The sequence below is a fragment of the Homo sapiens genome, chromosome 20 (genome assembly GCF_000001405.40).
Source record: "Homo sapiens chromosome 20, GRCh38.p14 Primary Assembly".
Classification (NCBI taxonomy): Eukaryota; Metazoa; Chordata; class Mammalia; order Primates; family Hominidae; genus Homo; species Homo sapiens.
Window position 1 is genome coordinate 17661465 of NC_000020.11, and position 22086 is coordinate 17683550.

Sequence of the window (22086 nt, forward strand, 5' to 3'; positions counted from 1 at the left end):
GAATGAACAACACCATTCTCACTGCCTATGGACCAAAGTCCAATGGGTCAGAGGCATCCAGGTTCATACACCTTCCTGCCACAGCCCGGGCTAAGTTCGACTTCACTGAGGAACTCCAGGAGGTGTATTTATTTGGATACATTCAAGCCAGTCCCGAGTCTCTCTAAAGAAGATCGATGGAATGAGCAAAGAGAACACAAGGGTAAGAAGGGGTGGTTAAGGGGAGGTAAAAGGAGGTGGAAGAGGAGAGGAGGGGAAGTGGACAGGCCTCCCCCAGCATTGCCCTGCAAAACCTCTAGATGCTGTGGGAGACTGGGTCCAGGCTGCTTAGTGGCTCAGATACTGAGATTCTTCTCCTAAGACATTGAGATCCCCACTCCTCTTGAGTGGTTATAGAGGAAGGAAACAGAGTAGGAATCAAATCCAAATTTTGACATGAGGGCATTTTAAAGAAGGGACTGAGAAGGGAGACTGTTTTCAATGTCTTGGCATTGTGTTCTAAGAAAAATCACTCTCGGCCGGGCGCGGTGGCTCACGCCTGTAATCCCAGCACTTTGGGAGGCCAAGGCAGGCAGATCACGAGGTCAGGAGATCGAGACCATCCTGGCTAACACGGTGAAACCCTGACTCTACTAAAAATACAAAAAACTTAGCCAGGCGTGGCGGCGGGTGCCTGTAGTCCAGGCTACTCGGGAGGCTGAGGCAGGAGAATGGGATGAACCTGGGAGGTGGAGCTTGCAGTGAGCCAAGATCGCGCCACTGCACTCTAGCCTGGGCGACAGAGCGAGACTCCGTCTCAAAAAAAAAATTTTCAAAAAAAAAAAAATCACTCTCATCACAGAAGGAACACATTACTTTGACCTTTCTAAGACCTTCACAAGAAGAGGGTTTAAAACACTCATGACGAAGAAACTTCCTAGCATATGCTCTCCCTGGGGACAACTCTATCAGCTGCTGTGGCAACACACTTCTCCCACACTGTCACTCGGCGTTGAGCGAGACTGAGTCACACTTTTCATTCCAGTCTTAACCTCTACAAAGTCTTAGGGGAGCTCATGGAGGCCTTTGAATCCTGGGTAAGGCAGCATTTATATTTCCAAATGGGTTCTGACCTCTGGCCGTGGGCAGTGACAGTGTGATCCACAGCCAGGGCACTCTCACGTTTGATCATCGAGGGAGGATACCAGGAACTGGCCTTCCGAGAACACACTCTCAAGCTGGGTGTTAAAAAGGAAATCGCACCCTGCTCAGCCATGGATGGATTCAGTGGGTAGGAGGATGGGGACAAGAAGGTCTGGAACATGGTACAGTCAACCCTCACTTTTTGGCAGGTACCCACCAACCAAAACTCCTCTGGGTACTTACAAGATTTCTCAGAACTCTGCCAAAATGGACACCACATTATAATCACTACATTCAAAAATCCTAAGGCCAGGCATGGTGGTACAAGCCTGTGATCTTAGCACCTTGGGAAGCTGAGGAGGGAGGATCGCTTGAGCTCTGGAGTTCAAGGCCAACCCAGGCAACATAGTGAGACCCCATCTCTATTTAAAAAAAAATAAAAAATCCTCTAAAACACTCCCCTTCTCTAGAGAAACGAACATTAGGGGCCTGGGTCACCCTCACTGAGGCTCCATAAACCCCGAATCGTTTCCCAACAACCATGTGCTCGAGGGGTGGTCTTTACCGAGTCGCGATTGGCACTGGTTGCAGACCGTGACACAGTGAACAGCCACGCACAAAGCGGGGCCTGTTCACAGCCGAGGACTGTGGGGCTCTGTGCAGCCTTGTGGTTTCCAACTTCTAAACTCCAGCAGAAAAGCCAAGGCTGGAAAATGAACTTTTAATCTTACTCAACATAGGCAAACACAGAATACAAAAACATATTCTCTGTTGGGACCCAGAATCGAGAAAAACAAACTCGGGAGAATATTTTTCCTTTGCAACGCACACAAATATATGTTTTATAGCAGCACAAATGTGTCTTCCCAACTTTTGCAGAAAAAGAAATTACATCCCCACCACTAATTCCCAAGTTAGAATTTTTTAAAAGAAATCTTTCACAAGAAAATGAAAAGCCCTAGTCTTAAGTAGTAATACACTGAAACATTTAAGGCTAAGGCAATACCACCACGGACAGCAAAGAAATCGAAATGAAAAACAACCTTTCTGCTGCTTTGCAGAGTCAGCTTCAGTGAGGCGTAAACATCATGCTGGGAGATCCCTGATTCACAGAAATGATGAAGCCAGGGATGCCTCTCAAATTCGGTTCTCACAATCAGCATTCCGGGAGATTTGCTCCTGAAATCCACACCATGATAAGAGGCCCCCAACAGAAACCTCTTCTAGGGCTTCCTCCACTGCACCAGAGTTAGGGCAGATGTGTGCCCACCCATACCTTGTAGGGTCTGACCACAGGGATCTATATTCTGTCAATTCCAGAAACTTCTGTCAAATACGTACTTTTACTCCCTGCAGTGGTCCTCCCTTATCCTCTGGGAAACTTCCCAACACCCCCAGTGGGTCTGAAACTGCAGTAATACTGAATCCTATATACACTATTTTTTTCCTATACCTACATACCTATGATGAAATTTAATTTAGAAATTAGCCACAGTACGAGATTAACAATAATAAAATAGAACAATTATAACCATATGCTAGCATCACCACTCTTGCACTTTGGGGCCATGATTAAGTAAAGTAAGGGTGACTCAAACACACGCACTGTGATACCAGACAGTGGATCTGAAAGCTGAGAGGGCCACCAAGTGACGCACAGGCAGGTAACACAGACGGCGTGAATCCACTGCACACGGGATCGTTCACATCCCAGGCAAGACGCTACTCAGAATGGCATGCAACTTAAAACTCAGGAAGAGTTTCTTTCTGAAATTTTCCATTTAATATTGTCAGACCACAGCTTTCTGCTGGTAACTGAAACCACAAAGAGTGAAACCATAGATAAAGGGGGACTACGATATTGCTAACATACTCAGACTGTAAGACAAAAAGATGAAGGCCCCAAGAGGGAAGGATGTAGGAGGCTGCGCAGAGGCTGGACAGACTGAACTCACTGGCCCACCTCTAAGATCTTGAGAGAATGGCTCTTCTTCTGTTCTTAAGATTCGGGGAACAAAAGTAAGAGGAAGCCCCAAACTCTTTAGACACAGAAGATATCTGCTAATTCACATGGCCCGGCCAAGCCAGTTGGGTCCAATTTGGCAGCTGGGATTTTGGTAGGTTTTGTGAAAAGACCCTCAACAGCTCCCAGGACTCTGTCTCATTACTAAGCAGCAGCTCCACGGGGGACCGTGTGTGGAAGCTTGGAGAAGCTGTGGGGTAGGGGTGGACAAAGAAAACCAACCCCCAGATCCATTTCCTGGGCATAAGGTGACCTGCTAGGAAGGTACAGAACTAAAACAGAATGACAATAAAACAGAGACCCTAGCAGACATGGCTACATCAGAATCAACAGCTCCTAATTTTTAAAATATTATGAAATGACTCATACAAAAGACTAAAAAGAAAAATATGAACATCCATTAGCCTACCACCCAGGTTTACCAAACCCTAACATTTTGCCATATGCACTTTAGATATTTATTTATATATATATGTATGTGCCTGTGTATACATATATATGTGGGGGGGGGACACACACACATGTGTATATGTATATATATGTCATCTCCCTTCTAGAGGGGGACAACACCCTGAATGGGCCACTTACCACTTCCACCTGCTTTTGCTTCTATTACATGTATCTATCTCTACCAACAAAATACAGCCGTTACTTTGTGTGTTGGTAATTGCTGTGTAAGTGACATTGTTCTGGGTGCTATTTGGTAACATTTTTTGACTAAACTTTGTGAGAATATTCATATAGATACACATAGCTTTGGTTTATTCTTTTTGTTTTTTTGAGACAAAGTCTCTCTCTGTTGCCCAGGCTGGAGCTCAGTGGCATGATCCTGGCTCACTGCAACCTCTGCCTCTCAGGTTCAAGCCATTCTTGTGCCTCAGGCTCCCGAGTAGCTGGGATTACAGGCGTGTGTCACCACGCCCAGCTAATTTTTGTAGTTTTTAGTAGAGACGGGGTTTCACCATATTGGCCAGGCTGGGGTTTATTTATTTTCACTCCTATATTACATAGTTGAACCACAAATTATTAGCCATACTCCTATGCTTTTAGGTTTTAAAAATTTATGCTGTCACACAAAATTGTAGTGTGACATGTCTACCATATGAGTGAAAAATCTCCTTTATACCCCTGAAGCCAGCCACCCAGGGTCGCTTCCTGGAGATAACCATTGTGACAGAAGTCATTTTACTGTTTATAAGTTATTTTCTTCAAAAGACTTTGGTAATGCATTTCAAAGTCAGGTTTTCAATTACCAGGAATTTACTTTGGTATGTGACAGGAAACAGTGATAAAACTTTCCCCATCAGTTTAATTACCCAGCACCATTTCCTGACTGGTCTTTTCCTTCCCCCACAGACTCAGATGGCCATTTCTGTGCCATTCAGTGGATCTGTTTCTAGATTCTACACTTTGTTCCACTGTTATATTTATGCCCTGCATCAATGCCACATTTTCAGCTTAAGCATCCCCTACAAAATTTCTACTGGAATTTGCATTTGAATCACACTGAGTTTATACATGAACGTAGGAAGGATTGATATTTCTAACTATAGAAGCTATCTGTCAATGAATATGGTATGCTAGAGCACTACACTGATTTAAATGTTTTCTTCGAAGCCAGGCACAGTGGTTCGTGTCTGTAGTCCAAGCTACTTGGGGGGCTGAGGCAGGAGTTCACTTGAGTCTTGGAGTTGAACACCAGCCTGAGCATCATAGCAAGACCCTGTCTCTTAAAAAAAAAAAAAAAGTTTTCTTCCATACTTCTATAAGATTTTAATGATTTTCTCCATAAAAGTCTTACACGTTGTTTTGTTGATGGTTAGAATACCTTTTGTAAACTACTTCTTCTACTCCTCAGCTACAGACAACCAGCAAAGTAATTCATTTCTGCATATGTATAATTTACCCAGCTATCATCTATGTTCTTGTCAAATCTAGGAGTTTGTAGATTCTTTCTGATTTTTTTTAATAAAAAGTAAGCTGTGGAAAAAAAGACAGTATTGTTTCTTGCTTTCCAAACCATATGATCTCATTTCTTTTTCTTGGCTTAACAGAGCTGGCTGAGAACTCTGATGCAGTGCTGAGCAGAGTCTGTGCAATAAGCTGCCTTGTAGCATTCGCAAGTTACTACTTCTAATGTTTTACTACCAGTGTCGTACCAACTGCAGGTTTCTGGCAGAAATCTTTCCTCAGGTTAAGTAGCATGTCTTATATTCCTAGTTATCTTTTTAATATAATTGAGTATTAGATTTTACCAATTGCAGTTGACATTTTCTCCTTTAATCTGAAGTATGTGGAATTACAGTAATGCACAGTCTAATAATGCCAGTTCACAGAAAGTTTCTATGGTATAAATGTTTCTTGATGGAGATTCTTTTCTAACACATCACTAGATTTGGTTTGTTAACATTTTTATGTGAGATTTCTATGTGTATTTTAAAATGAGAAAAATCAGAGGTGATTCTCAGACTGTTTTCTGATCTTGGTATTAGGGTCTCTTGAGTCTCATAGAATAAGCTAAAAATCATTCCTTTTCCCCTATTCTTTGGCATAGTTTGTGTACAGGTAGGGTTTTCTGTTCTTTGTAGATCTGGAAGAACTTGCCCATAAAACCATCAGGATTAGTGTTCTGAGATCTTTTCTTAAAGGGGGAAGGCTGGCTAGAGTGCTGATTTTTAACAATTTCGATACAATTTAACAACATCAATTTCAATGATGATTCTAGGACCAGCTGCTGGCTTTCTGATCCAATCTATAAAATTAATATTCATTATTCCTTCCTCCATCTTCCACTGGTTTATTCTGTCTTTTCTAACTTTCTGACACGGCCATTTATCAACTTTCAGTCCTTTCTCTTTTCTTGCAGCAAATATTTAAGGCAATAAATTTCCCCCTAAGTACTGCTACGGCTTCATCCTACAAGCTGTGATGCTAACACATCTTCCTAACATCCATACGTGACTGAATTTCATGAATGTCTCCAGCTGCCTCCCCAGTGGTCAAACCACCTACAAGGTCTTAGGTCTGCTGCCCTTCCCCATGACATGAGCCCCCATCACACACACATCTGGACTAGTCAGTGTTGTTTGGTTCCGGATAGCTGACACTTGCTTGTTTACCCAAATGCTGGCCATCTGCTCATCACTGCTACTTGCATCTCATTCCTTTTTTTAGGGTCTTGCCAAAGTACATCCTTGAGTAGTTCTTTCAGCAAGGATCTCTTCTTCATAAACTTTCTCAGTCCTTAAAGCCCTGAGAAAATTTACTTCACCTTCATGGATTAACTGAGGACAGAATTCCATGCTGACAGTTTTCTCTCACCATGTTGAAGATGTTATTTCACTTGTCTTCCGGCATTTTCTTGATGAGATGTTTAGAAACACACTGTCAGTCTATTTGTTATTCCTTTATAATATCTTTTTAATCTCTCATTACTTTTAAGATCCATTTCTGGGGTTCTAAGGATTCAGCAAAATGTTTGTAAGTGTATATTTAACTTATTCAGACTCACTGTGCTGAGTGTGAGGAGTTATGTTATTCTTCAATTCTGGAAAATCCTTGGCCACACAGTTCTTCGAAAATGGCCTGCTCCCTATTCCTTCCTGGTAGAGCTCCTAATTAGACCTCAATCTCTTTGTGCTACCATTTGGATAACTCGTTAGACCTACACTCCAGTCTTCAGCTGAATCTCACCAGCTCTATAATCAGTCCTTCGTTATTCGATTTGTTTTTTAAGTCTGACTGGCTTTTCTATTTTTCATTGTCTTCTTTTCTACCTCTAACAGTGATTTGATATTATATCTTTGTGGGGCTTTATCACTGGTAAACCTTAATGGGCTGAGTTGTGGGCCTGCCTCTAATGAGCTGTTTTATCTTTGCTTCAACTAGGGCCTCAGGGAAGACCAGCCAGGGACTAACTTTTACAAGAGGCATGGTCTCCTCTTACAAATTATCAGGAGACTGTGTCTCCCTTGCCCAGGACAAAACAGATAAATTCTTACCTGTCATCTCCCCTTGCGACTACTGGGCAGGTGTTCTTTCTAGTCTGTCCTCCCATGGAGGGTACAGCCCTTCAAGGGTTCAAGTCTTACAGGTGGATGTGAGAGAAGGCTCAGTTCCCATTCCCAGTCTCAGACAAAATCCCATTCCCCCTGGACATTAAAGCCAAAGACTCAGATGACTTTGACCGATAATACCGCACCCCTACCCCTGTCCCAGGGTCAGCTCACTGCAGGTCCCAGTCACTCGCTGCAACCTTGGCTTATGAACTCTGGTCATCTCTTTCCCTACCTTGTGAATGCACTACTATGCATTTTAAAGACTGCTTACTAACTATGTAACATTTCTAAGTGTTGGAGAAGTGGGTTTCAGATCAGTTGACCTAAAATTTTAAGTGCAATCTCTGATTTTTTTTTTAACCCAAAGAAACTAAGAGAAAATGCAGTAACAAAGAGTCCGAAAAAATTTATTTCATTTCTAAGAGGATACATATAATGGACTCCCTATTTTAAAGAAACAATGTTACTCATTTTAAAGAAGAGTTGAAACACTAAAAATAGAAATGTACTCTATTATAAGCCTTTGCTTATTCATCAGCCATTTCAGATTCAATTTCTATGCCTGAGGGGGGTAAAAAATAAAGAATTGACAATTTCTGGTGTCTTTCCAAATAACAGTCTTTGGAAAGTAGGTACTTAAACAGACCTAAATCTTCTGCGAACTTCCAAGAAGCCTACGGGCTTCACCTTATTGAGGAAGACAGCATGCCTATGCGGTAGGAATCAAGAACTGATGTCTCAAAATGGACATGAACAGTTAAGATGTGCTAGCCCACAAGGGAGTTCTTACTGCCGTAAACATTTGTCTCCCAAAAGCAGGGGTCAGTGTCATCTATACTGTATCAAATCAAACCTCACCACATCAAATATGGTAAGTGATGAATCAATCGTCTACTCAATATCATATCAGCATCGTATGTGCTAATGTATACCATTATAAGGATCAAATCTAAACAGAACAACCCAAGTTTCCAGATGGGAAATAATACACACCATGGAGTCTTACACGTTTTCAGAGTTACTTCTTAGTTTTTCATAGTTTTCACACTCTTACAAATGGTAGCTCTGAAGTTTCGTTTTCTGCTTGTTGCTGGTATACGGAAACGTAACTGATTCCAGCAGGGTGATTTTTCCCCCACAGCAACTTGCCTAATTCTAGTAACACATCTGTCGATTAAAAAGAAAAAAATTCTACATATATAAGCATATGAATCACAGTTTTGTTTCTTTCTTCCCAATTTCCTATCGTCTGCTTAATTCTTCTTGAATTTTTGCACAGGGCAGGACCTTCAACACAGTGCTAAAGAGAAGGAATGACAGCAAGTATTCTGTTTTTCTCATATCAAAGGGAAAGATTTAGGTGTCTCTCTTTAGTGTGAGATTTACTAAAGCCTTTTTGCAGACATCCTTTATCAGGATAAAGAGGTTGCTTTCTTATTCCTAGTTTACATAAATAGATGTTGAATTTTATCAAATACTTTATCTGTATCTATTAAGATAATCATACTATTCTACTCCTATAACCCGTAGGTGTGGAAGGTGAATATAAACTTATTTTTAAACGTTAAACCAAGTTTGAATTCCTAGGATAAAACGATTTAGTCATACATACTGCTGGACTTTGTTTATCTTTTCAGGTATGAGATCTGACTGATGGTTTTCTTTCCTCCTACCATTCTTGTCAAGTTTTGTAACAAGGTTGGCTGGCATCAAAATGAGTAGTGTAGGATTCTTTTTTTTTTTTCATTGTTTCTACTTTTTAGCAATTACCTTTAAAAAAAAAAAAACAGTAACACACAGCACTCACAAAATTCAAAGTTAAACAAATCTTTACCCCCCCAAATTAATTCTATTATCCCTTCCAACTTAGATGTTACTGTTTTCATGTATTTAATCTTATCCTTGTTCCAGCCTCTCCAACATTATTCTTTTACATGTATTTAGAACTGTCCAAATATTTACCACTTTCTTTACTCATCATTGCTTGTTATGTCTTTTTCCACTTGCCATCACCTTCCTTCCAAGAATATCCTTGAGAAGTTCCTTTAGCAAAGATCTGTCAGTAGCTATCTTGGGTTTTTGTCTTAAAACAATCTTTTCACTCTCACTGTTGAATTTTTCCCTTGAGTTGCTGTATCACTAAATGTCTATATGTGGATTTATTTTTATTTACCCGGCTTGGGTTTTGGTTGGGTGTCTTACGCATTCCGCAAAATTCTCAGTCATTAGCTTTTCAAGTACTGGCTCTGTCCTCGCTCCTCTCCTGGAACCCCAATTAGACACACTTCTGCATCTACTCTTCCTGAATCTTAATTGGTCTTACAAATTATTCATCTATGTGGTTCTCTAAATTATATTTCTTCTTCTCTACTTTCCAGGTCATTCACTCTCTTCAGTTTTATGTAATCTGCTAGTAAATCCATCTGTTAGATTTTTATTATAAAGACATGAACTTTTCATGTCTACAAGTTGTTCCTGGTTCCTTTTTCAAATTTGCTAGGTCATTGTATAGTTTCCTCTTCCTCATAGGTATTTTCAATCTTGCCTATTTAGTTTGAGTAAGGCCTTTAAAATCTATGTCAACAAGTCCATTATCTTATGTTTTCTGAGATCTCTTCCTGCTGGTCCTCATTCAGTGCTATTTCATCCTTTGCATTTAGTTGTTCCTAACTATGGACTATTCTCTTTCGTTTGATAATTACAACTGGGGATTTGGTGAGCCTAGGATAAAGGTGCAGTCCTTCAATGATCTGCTCGCCCCTGGACTGACCCAGGAACACTAGGTGTGCAGGTCCACTCTCAAATAAAGAATCTTCAAATCAGCTTGGAGTTTCCCACTACTCAAGTCATGGGATCCACATGAGGGACAACTTGTGATATCCACTTCTCAGAATGTGCCCCTCCCTACCCTGCCTGTAGGGTGAGAATGGGCTTACCTCTGACTCCCCTTCTCCATGAAGGTGTCATGGCCCCTTGTGGTTCCAACTCAGGGAGCCTGTGTCCTATCATGCTGCCAGCATTAATCTCTGCCCCCTGCGCCTGGAGATGCTATCAGAACTTAAGAGTTTGCCTATTTTGCCAAAGGCCCCCGGGGTTGTCCTTATCCTCTTGGGTCACTCCTTTCACCACCTGCTTCAGTGTATTCCATTCTAGGCTTGTCAGAAGGTATTTTTAATGTCATTTACCTCTTGTCCAGGCCATCCAGCAAGTTAGAAGACCGGTTCAGGCCACCCAGCCTATTCTATCACCAGAAACCCAGTGTTGTCGCCCCCAACAGCCAAACCAAATTCCAGCCAACCATGCTCTTCAAAGAAAAGGGAGCACGTGGCTGCCATGTGCCAGGAGGCTGGCTGTGCCAGGGAGACTACTACCAACTCTGGACCTGGATATACCATCCTTCATTACTAGGTGGGCCAGGGAGGAAGGGCTCCTGCAGGAATATCCCGACACTGCCAACCCCTAGAGGTGGGCAGAGCTTCTAATTAGAAACACATGGGCCAGAGCTAAATGAGGTCTGATACCCAACTATTGGTTCGTTTTTAGGAAATTCACTCTGTAGGGGAAGAGTTCTGATGAAGAATTCAATCTCAAGATATGAGCTTCGTTGAATTCCCTTCCATTAACTCCTTGGAGAAGAGCTGCATTTCCACTCAGGTTTATATTAGGAAATATCACCTGCTCATCAGCAATAAAATCTGACCCTCACAAGCCCTTTTCCCAAGGCCCACCTTTGATTAACGAATTCTGCCAGCCTAACATCCTCTCTCTGTGACAGCGGAGAACTTCAGCCTGAGTGAGTCATTTCTTATTTATTATCAACGGTAACTCAAAATTCATTTTGGTTCCCTTTTAGAATCAGCCACTTTATAATATATTCCAAGGTCTCATTCATATACTGTTGGTGGGAGTATAAATTAGAACAAGCACTTCAGACAAAAAGTCTGGCACTTTCTTTTAAAGCCGAGCACCTACCTCCTTCTGGTCCTGCAATTCTACTCCTAGGTATACAGACCCAATGGAAATGTGTATAGACATTCACCAAAAGTCTGCGGCATTAATAGCCCCAAACTGGAAACTCTCCAAGTACCCACCTACAGTAATGTGAATAAACTCATATATTCACATGCTGGAATAGTGAGAATGAACAAACTACAATTACCCCAACAACCTGACAAGTCTTACACGTAACGTTGAGTGAAAGACACAAAAGAGCATATGCCGTTTGAGTCCATTTACATCAAGTTCAAACACAAGCAAAATCAATCACTGGTATTATTAAGAAGAGAGCAGGTATTCCCTGCCCACGATGGGCAGCAGCTGGAAGAGGGGCACAGAAGGAGGTTGGGGAGGTCAGGAATAATCTATTTCTTGATCTGCTGGTTAAACAGGCATGTTTAGCTTGTGGATACTTATTGCGTAGACTCGTGATAGTGCATTTTTCTGTATATATTTTACTTTAATAAAGAGTTTAAAATGTGTGTCATATTTCCTTGGAAAACGCGCCCCACAGATCCTGGAGGAGGAGCATCTTTAAGGCCTGAAGAATCTGTTATGGAGCCCTGTTACTACTGCCACTTCCCAGTGCTCACACCCACACAGGATCGCTCCCTTCACAGACAGGAAGTAACTGAGGCCAGGGTCAAGGCAGGCAGTCACCTCCTGACCTGACAGGGCAGTGACTCAGTGGGACCCACAGCCCTTTATAGTCCTGTGGCCATGCCACCTTGCTGTCCTGAAGTCTTTCTTTTTTCTTTTTTTTGTGATGGAGTCTCACTTTGTCGCCCAGGCTGGAGTGCAGTGGTACGATCCCGGCTCACTGCAACCTCCGCCTCCCGGGTTCAATTGATTCTCCTGCCTCAGCCTCCCAAGTAGCTGCGATTACAGGCATGTGCCACCATGTCCAGCTAGTTTTTGTATTTTTAGTAGAGACAGGGTTTCACCATGTTGGCCAGGCTGGTCTCGACCTCCTGACCTCAGGTGATCTGCCCGCCTTAGCCTCCCAAAGTGCTGGGACTACAGGCTGAGCCACCATGCCCGGCCCACCTGCAGTCTTTTTAAAATCAAACTGTACAGAATAAGTCTCCAGATCTTCCAACTTAAGAGGGATATGACTTAAGATGGAAAAGACTAACTTAGCTTCAGAGCAGTGGCTAAAGTTGACCTTTTAAGAGTCCTTTGACACATTACCAATAAGACTTTTTTCATTAAGAGTCTCAATAATTCATTTATTCTTCAGCATTGACTCCTTCCTCCCCTCAATCACTGTGATTACTATTCTGAAAATTAAGACTTTCCTTTCTAATTACTACAAATACCTAGAACTACCAAGGAAATAAAAATGTATTCATAAAACTAAAGCTACATCTAATTCCTATTCAGGATCAGACTTAATTAAAAACCAATTTAATGCAGTTGAGTTGCACACTTTAATCACTGAATGAGAACTTCAAAAAAACACACCACCTGGGTTTGAACAAGGGTCTTTCACCTTTCCAAGTAAAATGAGTAGGTCAGACATTCCCGTTAGAAAGGGCTAGAAATCTAGTATCTACTCTTCTTCACCTAAAATCAACAGGAGAGAAGAGGAGAAACAAAGGATGGGGCTGGACGTAGTATTGCCTCTTCCCAACCAGACCACCCTGCCTCAGCCATTGCTCCTCCTACTTAGTGGACTGCCACACAAAATTCCTCTGAGAAAAGAACATCACCATGAGGTGAGGCAGGAGAGGAACCTTGACCCCTCCCTCACTTCCTAGCACGATGAGGACTGACCAAGAGAAAACAAAATGTAATGCCAACTATAAGAATTCTCCCGGCCAGGCTCGGTGGCTCAAGCCTGTAATCCCAGCACTTTGGGAGGCCGAGGCAGGTGGATCACGAGGTCAGGAGATCGAGACCATCCTGGCTAACATGGTGAAACCCCGTCTCTACTAAAAAAAATACAAAAAAATAGCTGGGCTTGGTGGTGGGCGCCTGTAGTCCAGCAGGAGGGTGAGGCAGGAGAATGGCATGAACCTGAGGGCAGAGCTTGCAGTGAGCTGAGATGCACCACTGCACTCCAGCCTGGGAGACAGAGCGAGACTCCCTCTCAAAAAAAAAGAATTCTCCCTTCTCCCCCTAAGGAACATTCTTGCCCACTAAACACAAAATCTACCTCTTTTCAGAGCAGCCAGCACACTGTTCACACCCAAAACAAATGTTCTGTTTCCTGGTGAGTGTGTCGTCACTGAAATGCTCAGTGACTCTGCAAGGCCCACCTCACACTCATTGGTTATACAAGGAATTAAAGGATGCTCACAGCCAAGTCTCCTCCCCAGAACTGGTGCAAGCACCTGGGAAGGGCCCAGTTCTGTCAAGGTGCCATGCATGATGGACTCCCAGAGACACTGGGATGAATCTAACCAGGCTGGAGACTGAGGGCTCCCAGGAGAGAGCCAACATCCACATCGTCTCCTAAGGTTCACTTCAAACCCCAGCCTCCGCTGGAAGGGCAGGATGTCCACATTTAACAGTGCCCTCTGCATGTGACTGTCAATTTCTCAACTGGAGGCAGGCTGGAGGTAATCCAAACTTCACTTGCATTTGGCTCTGGAATATGTTTTTGTGTTTATATGTGATGCTCTAGGAATCCAGACTCCTTCAGGCTACATGATATACTCGCAGAACGCCAGTGCTACAAAATCATCTCCATTAGCTCAGCAAGAATGGGCACCTATTGCATGCTAGTCACTGCCCTCGACACTGGATATACCTCAGGAAACAAAAGCTACATCCCTGCACTGGTAGAGCTTACGCTTCAGAGGGGGAGATGACAAAGTCAGTCAAATACGGGACATGTCAGGGGGTGATGAAGAGAAAGTGATGCAGAGAAGGGGGGCAGGGAGTGGGGGTGGGAGAGCGTCAGAGGCTGACACTCCACACAGGGTAGCCAACAGGCCTGAAGGAGATGAGGGAGCCAGCCATGTGCCATCTAAGGAAAAGCTCTTAGGGATATGCCAAAGTAGACGCAAAGGCCCGGAGGCAGAAGCATGCCTGAGGAACAGAGGCCACCGTGGCTGCAGCAGAGGACAGGGAGATGGTAGGAGTGAAGCTAGAGCGAAAGTGCCCTGAGAGGCCACTGGAGACCTTGACCAAGGAGGGTCTTGAACAGAGGAGTGACATGGTCTGCTCTGGCAACAGACTAGAAGGCAGGGGGTATAGGCAAAGGCAGGGAGCCCACCAGAGGCTAGAGAAATAACCCGGGGCAGAGGTGAGAGCAGGCTGGGCATGCTGGCTCACGCCTACAATCCTGGCACTTTGGGTGGCCAAGGCAGGAGGACTCCTTTAGCCCAGGAGTTCAAGACTAGCCTGGGCAACGTGGCAAGACACCATTTCTACAAAAAAACCTAAAAATTCACTGGGTGTGGTAGCATGCACTTGTGGTACCAGCTACCCAGGAGGCTGAGGCAGGAGGATTAACTGAGCCTGCAATGTTGTAACTGCAGTGAGCAGTGATTGCGCCACTGTACTCCAGCCTGGGTGATAGAACAAGACCCTCTCAGAAATAAAAAATCAAAAGGTAAGAGCTGTTTGGACCAGGGAGAAGGCAGAAGTGGTGAGAATGGTCACACTGGCTCTGTCTGGAAGGTAGAGCTGATGGGACCTGCTGCGTACAGGGTACAGGTATGAGACGGCGAGGAGTTAAGGATAAACCGAGGTTTGTGGCCTGAAAGGTGGAGCTAGCTGGCCTAGTTTCATTTTATAGGAGGGAGAAAACTGAAGCCCAGGGAGGAGAAGTCATGTCCAAAGTCACTCACTCACTCCAGGGATCAGAACACCCAACCAGTGCTTCTCCCACTGCTCCACACAGCAGCTCCGTGGGACAAGCTGATGACTAGTCCGGTCACACCGGACAGCCCCCAGCACCCTGAGGGACTGCCAATACCCAAGCACATAACATATATTGGGGTAGGATGCTGGGCACTGAGAGCACAGGCCCAGCTTAGAGAGGACAAACACAGTCCACGGCTGCCACACAAGAAAGTCAACCTAGTGTAGCCAGAAATTCCCATTTTCCCCCAGAGAACCCAAAAATCTAGATTTTGTTTTTGTTTTTTATTATGAGACAGAGTCTCACTCTGTCGCCTAGGCTGGAGTGTAGTATGATCTTGGCTCACTGCAACCTCCACCTTCCAGGTTCAAATGATTCTCCTGCTTCAGCCACCTGAGTAGCCAGGACTACAGGCACATGCCACCATGCCTGGCTAGTTTTTGCATTCTTTATAGAGATGGGGTTTTGCCATGTTGCCCAGGCTGGTCTCAAACTCCTGGGCTCAAGCGATCCACCCGCCTTGGCCTCCCAAAGTGCTGGGATTACAGGGATTAGCCACTGTGCCCAGCCCAAAAAATCTAGATTTTAGTGAAAAAAAAAAAAAAAATTCCACTTTTAAAAGGTGACTCAATTGCTTAATAACATGAGGTCAGTGAAACAAATTCCATGTGAAGGCCAAGTTCAGCTCACACAGGGCACCAGTTTGGAATTCCTCTCAAGACAGCCTAACAGACCTTGTTTGCTTATACCCTAACAGACCTTGTTTGCTTATACCTTGCCCAGGATAGAGAATTAAAGATTTGAATTCAAGATGGTCTTTTATTCCAACTTTTGAGTCAGCAGATGATATTCATTATCACTATAAATAGTCTGTAACTTCCAGTAGTCTTAGTGGGCCTCCTTTCTGACCAGAAAGAGATCAAGTAGCTGTCCATCATTCAGCTTCTTCCTTTAAAGTTAAACTTTGGTTTTATATTATTCTTTACAGAGTACTAATACTAAGATGAGCCCACAAGTACAACCAAGAATTCAAAAATTATTCCCCAGTACTGCCCAATGATCCTTTCGAAGTTATATGGAGGCCGGGCACGGTGGCTCATGCCTATAATCCTAGCACTTTGGGAGGCCGAGGAGGGCAGATCACCTGAGGTCAGGACTTCTAGACCAGCCTGACTAACATGGTGAAACCCCGTCTCTACTAAAAATACAAAATTAGCCGGGTGTGGTGGCGCATGCCTGTAATCCCAGCTACTTGGGAGGCTGAGGCAGAAGAATCACTTGAACCCGGGAGGTAGAAGTTGCAGTAAACCAAGATCACGCCATTGGACTCCAGCCTGGGCAACAAGAGCGAAACTTTGTCTCAAAAAAAAAGAGAAAAAAGAAAAAGAAAAAAAAGTTATATGGAGAATAACAGAGCTGTGTAAATAGTCACTGGTGTAGGAAGCAATTTATGCCACCCAAGAACACTGGAACTCCAATACTTTGGAACTGAAAAGGTTTCGGGACTGGGCAGGTATTCTAGTCTTGCCAAAAAAATCTAAGTTAGAAATCACAAAATGTTCTTGATAAGTTAAAGTTGCTGCCCATTGTTGACAGGTGGAAGACACATGTTACTGAATGCACATAAAGGACACACACGTCTGGTTTTGGGGGTGTCTGGTTGTCTGCTTCAGGAGACTCGGCCAGAATTTGTCTGCCTAAGAAAAGTCTCCTAGGAGGCCCCTGAACTAATTTTCTATATGCTAAGTGAGAGTGCCTCCTTGCCTAGGCACTGTCACTTAAAATTAAATATTTACCTTCCCTTACAAGCCATCACTTTCTACCTAATATCAATTTATTTTCTGTCTTTGTTACAAGTCACCATTTTGATGCTGAGGGCATTGGGTAAAAAATCTCTCCAGGAAAGGGCCACTATCTGTGTGGCCCCCCTCCCACTCCTTTTTCTTGGAATGCAGTTTACAATGCACACAAAGAGGCGGGACTAATGCTTTCTCAGGGTGAGATCTTATCAGGTGAAGTGTATCAACTGCCACTAGTCAACTGGTTTTGACCTACAGAATGGGCAATTTCATGTGGTTCAACATATTACCACATGATCAAGAGGAACAGGGACATGAATGTTTACAGAATACCAGCTGCCTCTACATCAGCACTGTCTAGAACTTTCTGTGATGGTGGAAACCATCTACAGCCACGCTGACCAACTTATGACTACTGAGCACCTGAAATGTGGCTAATTTGACTCAGAAATTGAATTTTTAATTTTACTTAATTTGAATTGTTTTAAACTTAAATTGCTACTTGTGGCTACTGTATTGGACAACACAGTTCTAGACAGTAGCTTTTTCAGGCAAGAACTAGGTCTCACTTGCGGTGTTTGAAGGCCCACCACACAGGAGACCCTCGGTGAAAAAAATGAAATGAAAAATACCTTCAGCACTGCCAGATTTTCAAAATGCCTCCCCACCTTCCTGCCACTGAAGCTCTTAATTTTGATCTTCACGTTCTGTGTCCTCCCTTGGGTAATTATTGCCCCAGGAAGGTGGAGGTATATAGCCAGGAGGGAACATTTGGAAGGCCGGGCCCACATCGCCTAGCAACTGGGCAACAGGAACTGGCCTGACAACCTTCTGACCAGCTGGACCTCCACATTCTCATCCACTGAATGGGTGACAACCATTCCCACCCCCTAGAACAGGGTTATTTTAAGGCCTAAATGTAAACCACAGTTGTGGAATCTGATTCTAAAAAGTGAACCTTAAAAACCAAGTTGGGCTAAGCTTCATTTATCCAATGAGACAGCTGGGAATAGTTTAACAGGTATGGGGGCGCTGTCCGCCTGGTATAACCAATATTTATGATGTTATAGGCCAGGCCTTAACCACTGCAGGCCCAGCATGCACAGACGGACAGCACAGTCCCTGCCTTCATCATTCTGACTTGACCATTATTTTTGTTTCTCCTGAAACAAGATTTTAGCAAAGAAAAACTTGCTGTCTCAACAGAACTGTTGATCCTCTATGTGTCATTCATCTATTAGTTAAAATTCCCAGGGCTAAAAAGACAAGAAGAGTCTGGGGTCCCGACACTTTTAAAAGGTGTCCCTGCTACATAATAAATCAATACTCCAATTCAATCACTGGCATTCAACCATTTAAACTGAGTTTGCTGCTATGTAATTATTGCAGCCTGTTGAGTTAGGGCTCATTTCATTAAAGAGCATAATTGCTCAAATGTGACTTGATTTAAGATTTATTTAAAACTCTTCCATCACCAAAAAATACTCATATACCATGAACCACTGTAACTTCTTAATCTCTCTGTAAATGTTCAGAGGCAGATTCCTAAGTATGAAAGGTGAGAGTTGTTATAGTGCCTAGAGCTCTAAACCCTCTCCTAAACCCCAAGATCCCTTTCTGGTTTCCCCTCCCCCAACCTTAGCCTCCTCCAGGCCTCCACTGGCCCAAGATCCCTGCAAGCCGGCTTTGCGGTGCTCCATGTAAAAGGAAAACTTCACCTACTAGGAGGTCTGCCCCGGCCTTTGCTTCAACAGAGAGGGAAATGGCACCTCCAGGACCTCAGAACCGGAAGCTTCTTTCTGGAAGGGAAAGAGGTTGGCATATGATAGTGGGAGTGACCTTTGGCAAGTTCGTAAACGAGTCAAGACATCACACAGTAAGTGACATGCTGCAGGGTCACAGATTTCTCTAGGTGTCGGATTAACAGGAAGTTAAATCAAACAAGGAGTGTGAGGAGGGAGGCGGGGCAGTGGGAGAATGCCCCCCAGCTGCACAGGGCGGGGTAACATTCGCAGTTGTTCTTCCTGGGAGTGCCAGACAGACGTCCTGGGTCTCTGGGGACACCCAGTTCTGAAGAGGTATCTAATGTGAGATATGAGGCCCTACCAGGCCCATTTCTCCAAATTCCTGAAAATGCCATCCAGATGGCCCCTACCCTGAAGGTTCCAGCACGCAGAGTGAATAGCTGAGCAGTGACGTGGGAGGCTCCTCAGGTCCCTCAGAGTTTCATTTCCTTGGTGCTTCCCAGTCTCTCCTAACCTCTGACCTCTCAGAGTAATTGCCAAATTGCCTTCTGTTTGTACAAGGTCCCAGCACTTCCCGGCGTGGTTCCCGACCCTGTGAGTGGGTGGTGCTGTCTTCAGGCCACAGATAAGAAACTAGGATTCAGAGGGGCTATGGGACCTGCGAGTAGGCGGCCAGTACGTGGTCCGGGGTGTAGAACCCCGGCTGTGCAACTTCTGCAGCCCCGCGCCCGCCGCAGTGCCGGAGCCAGGCCCCACCTTCCTCCCGTGTCCAGCACCCCCCAACAAAAGCATCCCAACTGAACAGCCAACACTTGTGGCTCCTTCCTACAAGTGCTGGGTCTCCACAGCTTTCCTCGCAAATCGAAGCTAACAGGAGCCCCGATTTGCAGACCAGGAAATGGAGACCCCGAACGAAACAACTTGGTCGGGGTCACCCTCGCCAGCCGGGGCACTCTAGAGCTAAAACTCGCGACTTATCATTCGGAGAGGGGTCCCTGAAGCACTGCGGGCGCCCCACTGGAAGCGCAGACCCCGGCCTGCCTCCCCTAATCAGGGCGCAGCGGGAGAGCCGGCCGGGCCGGGGCGGGCACCAGGCCGGGTGCCAGCGCGCTTGGCCGGCCCGGAGGTGTCCGCTTCCGCCCGGGGCTGGCACCGCCGGCCCATTCATCGTGGCCGCGGGCGGGGCGGGCCGGGCCCCGGGCGCCCTCGTCCCCCCGCCGGGAGCCCTCGAGCCAGGCTCCGCGCAGCCCAGCCGGGGAAACGGTGGCCCCGGCCCCGCCGCCAGGGGGAGCAGGGAGCCGCCTCCCGCACTCCGGGAAGTTGCCACCGCGGCCGCCCGGCGTCCGTGCCATGGACAGACCCGGTCCCTGCGCCGCGAGCCCTGCGGCCCCGGCCCGCCCCGTCGGGGGCCGTCCCAGCCCCGCGAAGCGCCAGCGGGCCGCGGCCCGGGACCGGCGCGCTCGGCCCGTGGGCCCCCATTCAATCCCGCCCTCCTCCCCTCGGCCGGCCTCCGCCGCCTTCCGCCCGCACCCCACCCCTCCGGCCCGGACTCCAGCCCGGCAACGTCATCCGGCGGCTTCCCGAAACTTAACCCCTTCCTCCGCCAGCTGTGCGCCGCCCCGCCCCGCCCCGCCGCCAACTTTCTTCGCCCAACTTCGGAGCGCGCTGGCCGGCCCGACGGCCCTGCCGGGAGGGAGGGAGGCAGGGAGCGGTCGCCACGTCGCGCCCGTCTGCCGCCGCAGCTCCCCGGACGGCGAGGGCCGCGGGGTCCACACCACGGGGCGCGCCCTGCCTACGCCCCGGTACGGCGCTTGCCCGGCACCCCCGCCCCGAGTCCGACCCCGACCCCGATGGTGCACGGCCGCGGCGGCAGGCGGCGGGCGGCGGGCGGGCCGGGGGAGGGGCCGCCGAGGAGACGTGTCACTCGCGGCGCAGCGCGGCCGGCCCCGGCCCCCCGACGGCCCGGCCCGCGCGCGGCCGCTGCAGGGCCCGGCCAAGTTTCTTACCTGCAGCCAGAGACGCGAGAGGGAAAGCGAGAGGGCAGGAGCCGCCGCCTTCGCAGCCGCCGCGGAGCCGGGAGAGAGGAGCCGGCCAAGCCTCCGCCAAGAAACCGCCCCCGAGCAGCTGTAGACGCTGCGACCCTGACGCCGCCCGCCCCGTCTGCCGTCCGCTCCGGCCGCTCGCTGGCTGCGTGCGCGCGTGTGGAGTCGTGGCACTTTCTGCCTCAGAGCTGGCGAACGGCCCCCTCCGCCGGGATCGCCGCCTCCTGCCTTCCCCACCCGGGCCAGCCATTCATCGAGCCGCCTCTTCCCATTGGTCCGCACCCCGCCACTCTGCCGGTCGCTGGCCAGTCAGGACGCGGGTGGCCGAGCCGCGGCGGCGGCCATTGGGCAGAGAGGAGGGTCTCCACCTCGGCCAATGGGAGAGGGGAGGAGCTGCGGGGAGGTGAAGGGGGCAGGGCTGGGGAGAGGCGGGGCCGAGCGGCGCGGCGCTCGGCCGTGCGCGGGGCGGGGCGGAGCAGGAACGCCCCGCCCACCGAGGGGGGGGTCTCCGGCCAGCTCCGCCCACTCTGGGCCCGCGGCGCTCCCAGCAGTCTCTGACTAGGATCCGGCTCTGCCTAGGCGGGAAGCAGAAGGTTCGGGTCCCGGCGACCCCGGGCCTGCGCCTCTGGATACCGCTGGGCTGACATGGCGGTGGCTGAACAGGGTTGCGCAACCGCGAACAGCCAAGGAAGCTGCTTTATTTAAACCCAACTAACTTCCCCCGAAGCAGCGCCCCCTCGGGCCGCCGGGTATGAGGACAAGCTCTGCTGGGGGTCAGCCCAGGGAGAGCAAGTTCTTATCATCAAAGAGATTGCAATCAGCACCAGAAGGAATTTCCTTCAGTAAATGGAGGAATTGGGGTGGAAGAGCCAGAAGGTGCACGAGGAATTGAAGCGGATGTCATCGCCCTCGTTGTTAGGGAGGGTACAACTGAGGCACGGTCTATTTAAGATACTCAACCAAATCACAGCCGGCAGAGCAATAATTACAATCCACTCTGTGGCGTTTTATTCCATGCGTTGGGGAAGGTGAGAGGTTCTAACCTAAGAAAACTCATCCGTGTCCCACAAAACGGAGCAACTGGTACTTCCTCATTCCCTGACTTTCTCCCCAATATCAGCCAACACTCAGTCTTCATAATTAGTCAAGTCTTTAAATTAAAATAATTTTAGGCTTGATTTTTAACCATTATGTCAGCGTCTCTTAAAGCCAACCCTTTGAACTTGAGCCAAAGCCAGCTTCTTTGGAATTTTGGATTCTGAGCGACCAAAGGCTGCCTAGACTGCCCCCCATCACTTCCCTAGCTCCTGTTGCTGCAGAATCCCGTGCCTAACATCTATTTCTTGGACAATTTTCAATCTTCCCTGTCCCCATTTGTCACTAGTACTGTACTAGCTGTTGTTAGAAAGATGTGAAAAATACAAGCCTTCATGGGGAATAAAGAGCGATTGGGTTGAAATTAAACTGTTCATTCCTATTTTTAATCT

General features: G+C 46.8%; 1 protein-coding gene across 3 annotated transcripts in view, besides 7 other annotated features; it reads right to left on the reverse strand.

The window, feature by feature from the left end:
- RRBP1 (ribosome binding protein 1) overlaps positions 1-20778 on the reverse strand; it is a 68564-nt gene extending 47786 nt beyond the window's left edge. For 2 of the 3 annotated variants that reach the window (NM_001042576.2, NM_001365613.2), the window contains exons 1-2: positions 20564-20778; positions 18535-18611 (exon numbers count right to left, since the gene is read on the reverse strand). The gene's annotated coding sequence lies outside the window, so the exon portion shown is untranslated. The remainder of the gene's footprint in view (positions 1-18534; positions 18612-20563) is intronic. The other variant, NM_004587.3, reaches the window with a different exon arrangement.
- Positions 18072-19271: an enhancer, noted in NCBI's record as "BRD4-independent group 4 enhancer chr20:17660181-17661380 (GRCh37/hg19 assembly coordinates)". NCBI's record gives its function as "activates an origin of replication core promoter dependent on BRD2, P300/CBP, MED14 and CDK7 cofactors, and independent of BRD4, by STARR-seq in HCT116 cells {active_cell/tissue: HCT116}" and the evidence as "EXISTENCE:reporter gene assay evidence [ECO:0000049][PMID:35650434]".
- Positions 19463-20135: an enhancer, noted in NCBI's record as "H3K27ac hESC enhancer chr20:17661572-17662244 (GRCh37/hg19 assembly coordinates)". NCBI's record gives its function as "activates a minimal SCP1, AML or CMV promoter by ChIP-STARR-seq in naive H9 embryonic stem cells {active_cell/tissue: H9 hESC(naive)}" and the evidence as "EXISTENCE:reporter gene assay evidence [ECO:0000049][PMID:30033119]".
- Positions 19709-20018: a silencer, noted in NCBI's record as "silent region_12695". NCBI's record gives its function as "represses an Ori minimal core promoter by ATAC-STARR-seq in GM12878 lymphoblastoid cells {active_cell/tissue: GM12878}" and the evidence as "EXISTENCE:reporter gene assay evidence [ECO:0000049][PMID:35858748]".
- Positions 20049-20098: a silencer, noted in NCBI's record as "silent region_12696". NCBI's record gives its function as "represses an Ori minimal core promoter by ATAC-STARR-seq in GM12878 lymphoblastoid cells {active_cell/tissue: GM12878}" and the evidence as "EXISTENCE:reporter gene assay evidence [ECO:0000049][PMID:35858748]".
- Positions 20129-20458: a silencer, noted in NCBI's record as "silent region_12697". NCBI's record gives its function as "represses an Ori minimal core promoter by ATAC-STARR-seq in GM12878 lymphoblastoid cells {active_cell/tissue: GM12878}" and the evidence as "EXISTENCE:reporter gene assay evidence [ECO:0000049][PMID:35858748]".
- Positions 20689-21108: a silencer, noted in NCBI's record as "silent region_12698". NCBI's record gives its function as "represses an Ori minimal core promoter by ATAC-STARR-seq in GM12878 lymphoblastoid cells {active_cell/tissue: GM12878}" and the evidence as "EXISTENCE:reporter gene assay evidence [ECO:0000049][PMID:35858748]".
- Positions 21389-21448: an enhancer, noted in NCBI's record as "active region_17566". NCBI's record gives its function as "activates an Ori minimal core promoter by ATAC-STARR-seq in GM12878 lymphoblastoid cells {active_cell/tissue: GM12878}" and the evidence as "EXISTENCE:reporter gene assay evidence [ECO:0000049][PMID:35858748]".